The following is a 7,641-nucleotide window of genomic DNA, read 5'->3' as shown; positions in this document are numbered from 1 at the left end:
CTGCATTTACTGATTAATATGCCTATATTTTCTACTTTGCTAACTCATATGGTTTCATTTTTTCATCTCAGCATTTAGCTTAAAATAAAGCATTTATTAAAATTTGCAGAATTAATGAATGATCAGAGTTGCAAGTATAAGGTTAACAGATTTAGACTAACCTGTCTGAATAAAGTACTACTGAGTTTTGTCTTTGAACTTGTTCGGTTTAACCTTTTTATTAGTAGCATAAAGCACATAATATGGTTTGGCCTTGTCCCCACTGAAATATCATTTTGAATTCCCATGTGTTGTGGGAGGGACCCTGTGGGAGGTAACTGAATCATGGAGGCAAATCTTTCCCGTGCTGTTCTCATGATCGTGAGTAAGTCTCACAAGAGCTGACGGTTTTAAAAAGAGCAGTTCCCCATACAGAAGCTCTCTCTCTTTGCCTGCCACCATCCATGTAAGACGTGACTTGCTCCTCCTTGCCTTCCACCATGACTGTGAGGCTTCCCCAGCCAGGTGGAACTATAAGTCCATTAAACCTCTTTTTCTTCCTGGTTTTGGGTATGTCTTTATCAGCGTGTGAAAACAAACTAATACAGCACGTGATTATCTAACCTATTAATAATGCAAAACTGGGAAAGACAACCTTAGAGATGAGAGAAGCAAGATAAAGAAGACCTCAAGGTATGTAATAATATTCCAGATGACGAAGTAAAATTTAATAGGAATGCATTAAAGGTCAGCATTTAAATGTTTCCAATGTTTGAGTACAGTATGGGAGAGATCTGACTTGGTCACAATTCACAGAAAGAAGGTCTTGTGATTTTACGAACCATAAAAATGAACACTGCCATGAGAAATCAAAATAGCTGTGATGAGTCCAGGTTGCACTCCTAGTAATTCAACCTTCAAGTCTTCTGAGGCCACAGTCTCTGAGCACTACACACCCACCAGATCATACTGGGAGCCTGGGTGTCTAATTCAGAATGCCACTCCTTAAGAAAGATGCTGACGAAATTAAGGGTGTCCAGAGAAAAGTAATAGCTCCTATGTTGAAGAAAAAGGACATATTTTGTCTAGAGAAGAGGCACCCATGAAGCAATGTGATAACTGAATGATTAATGCACAGGGGAAGGAATTTACTTATTACTCTGTGCTATACCAAAAGCTAAAAGTACAACTCATATGTAGGCAATTACCAGATTATTAGCTCTAGAGGAACCAAGAATGTCTATGTCTTGTTCACCATTAGTGCTTCAGCACTTTTAACATAGTAACCAGTAGATACTAGGAGCTCAGTAAATCCCTACTGATTGAATATATAACAATTTAAAGGAGATCTGGACTCAGAGTCTAATAGTCTTGTCTTCAAGTCCAGGTATTCTACCTAGGAATTGTGAAACCTTGTACAACTATATGTAGCCTCTCAGAGCAGATTTACAAATGCTCAGATAGTATTATTTCAAGTGATTCATATCATTTTATGACTATCAATCAACACTGATCATATGAAATCTCTTAAAATAAATATAGTAAAATGCTATATAAATGGTATATGGTAATAATTAGAGTAGGGGGCTGGGGGAGGGATAGCATTAGGAGAAATGCCTAATGTAAATGACAAGTTGATGGGTGTAGCAAACCAACATGGCACATGTATACCTATGTAACAAACCTGCACATTGTGCACATGTACCCTAGAACTTAAAGTATAATAATTAAAAAAAGATACAATCATATTAAGTTGATTGTAAAAAGGACTTTCCAGTTAAATCTTTTCAATAATGCAATAGATCACCTTTTGAATTCACTAGCTATTAATCACTGGAGTATTCAAGCAAAGGTTGGATGACATCTGTGAACAATATGGTAGAAGTCAAGTTTTGCCTTGAGACATAGAACTGGATGGCCATTAAGTTGCCCTCCAATGCTAAGATTCTGTTATCAGGGTCAGCACTCTCCATTGTTTCTAGTCTAGCTTCACCAACCCCTTCACTGTCCACATCAAAATTATAATCATCTTCTGATGCTGCTGTATCAGTTGGTATCTCAATCGGGCTCTGAGATACTTCAGGCATACTTCTTTCCACTTATTTAATAACTACTGAATGCATTGCAACTCCAACACTTTCAGGACTTCCAATTAGTCAATTTATTATGAGCCTCCCTGAAGCAGAGATGATTCTGAACCTTTTTTCTTGGGTGGCCTAACACATCTTAGGGAAGTGACATTCTTAGCAGTAACTGTGGCTCACTGTGGAAGCAATTCTTTCTTTTATTTTTTTATTTTTTATTTTTATCCTTGCAAGAATATGGCAGCAATTCTTACCCAGATGAGAGGAGTATTTTTTTTTGCAGGGCATTATCAGAATGGGGTAGAAAAAGTGAAAAACCATCTCAGTAGATTCTATAATGTCAACTACTTCCCCACTAAGCTAGACAGAGTCAAAGGATCTATATCTATGACTCCATTTGCCTTTATGTAACAGAAACCTTTCACAGTGGCTTAATTAAATAGAGGTCTACGGGTACACAGTTCAAGGCTGGACCAACTACCAGAGAGAAACATCAAGGACCAAGATTGATTTCAGATCCAGTTTTATCATCTTTTACGTGTAACAAACCCTCATAATTCTAAGATGGCTTTGTCATCAAACAGTACATCTGCATTTCAGTCAGCAAAGCAAGGAAAAAAGTGAGGGGCAAGAAGTCAAAGCCAGTGGAGTTTGTCTCCTTTTAAATAACTTTCTAAGAAGTCAAAGGCAGTGATTTCCACTCATATCTCACTGAAAAAGTAGGAGATTCAATATTTTAGCTGAATACATGGTGGCCTCCAAATAAATTAGGATTCTGTTTATAAGAAAAAAGGAAGAGTGGATGATGAGTAGGCAGGCAATTAGCAGCATCTGTCACAATTTCCTAATTCAGTTCAATTCATAGAATGTTTATTGAGAGACTGCTATGCTGACACCTTTCTAGCACTGAAATATACAGATGAGGACATGCACACAGTTCCTATATCAGAATGGAAAAGATCTGTGTGGTATTAGTAAAGAACTTTCACATAGTTCAACTCAGAAGAGTTGAACTTTGTGACTCAGAAGTGTCACTTTATTTCCTGATTGCAGATAAATAAATGGCACCTATTCCGAGTCACCAGAATAGGTGCCATTTATTTATCTGCAATCAGGAAATAAAATATATTTGAGTAAGCTGATAGAAGTGTGAGATTTTTCTGGAAAGTAAACTACAGGAAAGATCATTATCTGGTAGGAATCTTGCTTAACCATAAATTTATTGTGACCTTTTGTAATTTTGAAAAAAAAGATTATTTCTTATTAAGAGTAAAACTTCTATTTAATAAAACGTACACACAAGATGTGAGAGATTTACTGAATTTTAATATCACACTAAATGATTACATAAAATAATAATAGGAAGAAGACTGCCAATATGAAAATTATTACTCCCTTCCCTCTTCTAAATTTACTTAATGGAATTCAGAATTTGATTATTTATGCTTTTACTATCCCATGTGTTTAAATTTGGCATTTCAGGTGGACAGAGGATCCTTTGTATATTCCAGTTCTCCTGTTTGGGATGAACTTCCCTCTTTGCAAATCTGTCTCTGGCCTTCTTAAAAAGCATTTTGCCTTGTATTTGTTTTATTACTTACTATGTCCAGATGGGGCTTTATTTTCTCGACATATTTAACCTCTTTAAGTAGAGAAGTCTTACTCATTTTTACATATTACCTGATCTGATGCTCTGTCCACCCCAAGTGCCTATGAATTTATATGAAATAAATAAACATGTTTTTGAGGCAATAACTCAGTACACTTCTTTCAGTTACTAATAACACTTCACATTTGTGAAACTCTCTGTTGTTTTTTGTTTGCTTGCCTTTTGTTTTGAGACAAAGTCTTGCCCTTTCACCCAGGCTGGAATGTGGTGGCACGATCATGACTCACTGCAGCTTTAGGACTACAGGCGCAGGCCACCATGCCCAGCTAATTTTTATATATGCGTGTAAAGACAGAGTCTTACCATGTTACCCAGACTGGTCTCAAACTCCCACCCCAAGAGATCCTCCCACATCAGCCTCTCAAAGCACTGGGATTACAGGCATGAGACACTGTGCCCAGCCTCACATTTGTGTAACTCTTTATCTAAAGCAAGCTTGTCCAATCTGTGGCCCAGAACAGCTTGGAATGTGGCCCAACATAAATTTGTAAACTTTCTTAAAACATTTTGACATGTTTTGGCAATTTTTTAAGCTCATCAGCTATCATTAGTGTTAGTGTCTTTTATGTGTGGCTCAAGACAATTCTTCTTCTTCCAATGTGGCCCAGGGAAGCCAAAAGATTGGACACCCTTGATCTAAAGAGTTGTCCAAATGTGTCCGGAAGTGGTTCCTTCTGGTGGGTTCTTGGTCTCACTGACTTCAAGAATGAAGCCACAGACCCTCGTGGTGAGTGTTACAGTTCTTAAAGATGGTGTGTCTGGAGTTTCTTTTTTCTGGTGGGTTCGTGGTCTTGCTGACTTCAGAAGTGAAGCTGCAGACCTTCGCAGTGAGTGTTACAGCTCTCAAAGGTGGTGCGTCCAGAGTTGTTCGTTCCTCGCAGTGGGTTTGTGGTCTCGCTGACGTCATCTCGCTGACTTCAGGGGTGAAGCCACAGACCTTTGCAGTGAGTGTTAACAGCTCTTAAAGGTGGCGCGTCCGGAGTTGTGTGTTCCTCCTCGTGGGTTCGTGGTCATTCTGGCTTCAGGAGTGAAGCTGCAGACCTTCGCAGTGAGTGTTAAAGGTAGTGCAGACCCAAAGAGTGAGTAGCAAGATTTATTGCAAAGAGTGAAACAACAAAGCTTCCACAGGTGGAAGCAGACCCAAGCAGGTTGCTGCTGCTGGCTCTGGTGGTCAGCTTTTATTACCTTATTTGGCCCTGCCGACATTCTGCTGATTGATCCATTTTACAGAGTGCTGATTGGTCCGTTTTTACAGAGTGCTGATTGGTGCTTTTACAAACCTTTAGCTAGACAGAGTGCTGATTGGTACGTTTTTACAGAGTGCTGATTGGTGTGTTTACAAACCTTTAGCTAGACACAGAGCACTGATTGGTGTGTTTACAATCCTTTAGCTAGACAGAAAAGTTCTCCAAGTCCCCACCCAACCCAGAAGCCCAGCCTCTTCACCTCTTACAAAGTGCCTCAGGATTATGGCCTGTGAGCCTCACAGCAACCCTATGCGAGAGGTAATGTGGATGCTCTTATCTTCACAGTGTTGATCAGGAAACAGAGGCCCAAAGAAATTTGGTTACTTGAGCAAGCTCACGCAGCTAGTGGCAAGAATTGGATCTTTACCCCAGCTCATCTCATTCTCACTTCTCTACTTGGTGCACTATGCCAAATCACCTCAGTGTTTGTGGGAGAGATGCACCTTCCCTTCAAGTATTAATGCTGTCACTTAGAGAACCCAGATGCCCATAAGGTCTCATTCCAATCTGACACTTTGAATATGACAATGACCCAGGAGACTGCATCCACTTCTCCTCAACTTGATGACTATAAGCTTCTTATCACAACTTTCAGGGCGATTTTTGAATATTAAATACCGGGACATTTTATGATGAGCGTTCAGAATCTGCTTTAGGAGTCCAAGAAGGAAAGGGATGAGTAGACAATATGGAAACACCTTGTCCAAATTCACTCTAGGGGCCTAAGACTGTAACTCCAAAAAGGGAATTCCCTGTGCCACTCGCTGGTGCTTAGAAGGAACATTAATGGAGCCTGATATGGTCTGGCTTTGTGTCCCCACTCAAATCTCATCTTAAATTGTAATCGTAATTGTAATCCCCACATGTTGGGGGAGGGACCTTGTGAGAGGTGATTAGATCATGGGGGTGGTCCTCCCATGCTGTTCTCATGACACTGTTTTTACAAGATCTGACGGTTTTATAAGGAACTTTTACCCCCTTCACTCTGCACTTCTCCTTCCTGCCACCATGCAAAGAAGCATGTGTTTGCTTCCCCTTCTGCCATGATTGTAAATTTCCTGAGGCCTCCCCAGCCTTGTAAAACTGAGTCAATTAAACCTCTTTTCTTTATAAATTACCCAGTTTCAGGTATTTCTTCATAGCGGTGTGAAAATGGACTAATACAGAGCCCTGAGTACCAAAACATTCCTCCTCTTCATGTTCTTATGGATGCCTTCATTCAGTCCAAGTGCAATATCCTTGGAAAACAGCCCTATATGCCCATCCCACCATACTTTCTGGCCCCACATGGATTCACCTCTATAACTCATTTGCAACACAAAAGAGCTGAGGAGGTTAAAAAGTATTCAGGCCCCTCCCATTCTAAAATGATTGCAAAACATCTGTTTACATTTTTGAGAGAAGACTTGGACATTTCATGAGCTTTTGGTAGATAGGGAACAAGTAAATACATGAGGAAGAAAAGGAGCAAAGAACATGATAGAAAATTACTCTAAACAAATGTATTATATTTATTTATAAATGACTCGTAATTTGGGAATTATCTCATAATGTACAAAGCTCAGAGTTTGGTATGTCAAACAAGTAAAATAAATACTTTTCCCATTTGACTATAACATAAACATGATGATTTTTTAGTTATATGTTAAATTAAAATTACAATTTTCATAAGCAACACATAAGATTTCCTTTTGGAACCTAGAAGCCTTTCAAGAATTGTAGGTCAGCATTGTACTGTTAAACTGTTTAAGACATTTTGACACTTGCAGGGTACCATTAAGAAAGCAGAAGTAGGCCAGACATGGTGGCTCATGACTGTAATCCTAGTACTTTGGGAGGCTGAAGCAGGCAGATCACTTGAGGTCAGGAATTCAACACCAGCCTGGTGAAACCCTGTCTCTTGTATACACACAGACACACACACACACACACACAAAATTAGCTGGGCATGGTGGTGTGCACCTGTAGTACCAGCTACTCAGGTGGCTGAGTCATGAGAATCACTTGAACCCAAGAAGCGGAGGTTGCAGTGAGCTGAAATCATGTCACTACACTCCAGCCTGAGTGACAGAGTAAGGCTCTGTCTCAAAAAAAATGAAAAGAAAAAGAAAACAGAAGTAGTCAGAAGTAAAGGAACCTAGGTTCTTATCTCTATTCTGTAAATAAAAGGGTAATCTGAGGTAAAACTCTTTACTTTTAGGGTTTAAGTTTTCTCACCTGCAAAGCAGAAGAAGGCAGGCTAGATGGTCACTAAAGTCCTTCCCTTGAATCAGTATTATTTCTGAGCTAATAATGAGTAATTGAAGAACCATAGACAAATTGGCCAAATATCTGTGAAGCCAGGTATTATAACTACAAGAAAACGAACACAGGTGTTCTAACAAAGCACCTGTTCTTAGTAGGAGCTTCATGGAAATCTTATTTCATGTCTTCAGGTCATTGCTATTTGCTTTTTTATGCTTTAGACAGACTTTCTGCTGTTGGCTGCAGGATCTAGCCTCTTGAATTTACTTTGTATGTTCCAGTGTTTCTATCTGAGTCCCTAGACATGGACATGTCTATTTCCCTCTATGTTAAGGTTGGTGACAAAATGAATATTTTTTTAGTACCTCCTGTGTGCCAACCACTGCTAGGTGCTCAGGAATACAATGATGACAAAGCA

At 39.3% G+C, this 7,641-nt stretch overlaps 1 annotated feature.

Moving 5' to 3' along the window:
* Positions 4,385-5,584: an enhancer, noted in NCBI's record as "BRD4-independent group 4 enhancer chr1:101177825-101179024 (GRCh37/hg19 assembly coordinates)". NCBI's record gives its function as "activates an origin of replication core promoter dependent on BRD2, P300/CBP, MED14 and CDK7 cofactors, and independent of BRD4, by STARR-seq in HCT116 cells {active_cell/tissue: HCT116}" and the evidence as "EXISTENCE:reporter gene assay evidence [ECO:0000049][PMID:35650434]".

This window comes from Homo sapiens, chromosome 1, assembly GCF_000001405.40.
Source record: "Homo sapiens chromosome 1, GRCh38.p14 Primary Assembly".
In the NCBI taxonomy this organism is placed as follows: Eukaryota; Metazoa; Chordata; class Mammalia; order Primates; family Hominidae; genus Homo; species Homo sapiens.
The sequence above is the reverse complement of the archived record's forward strand: the minus strand, read 5'-3'. Positions and strand labels throughout refer to the sequence as shown.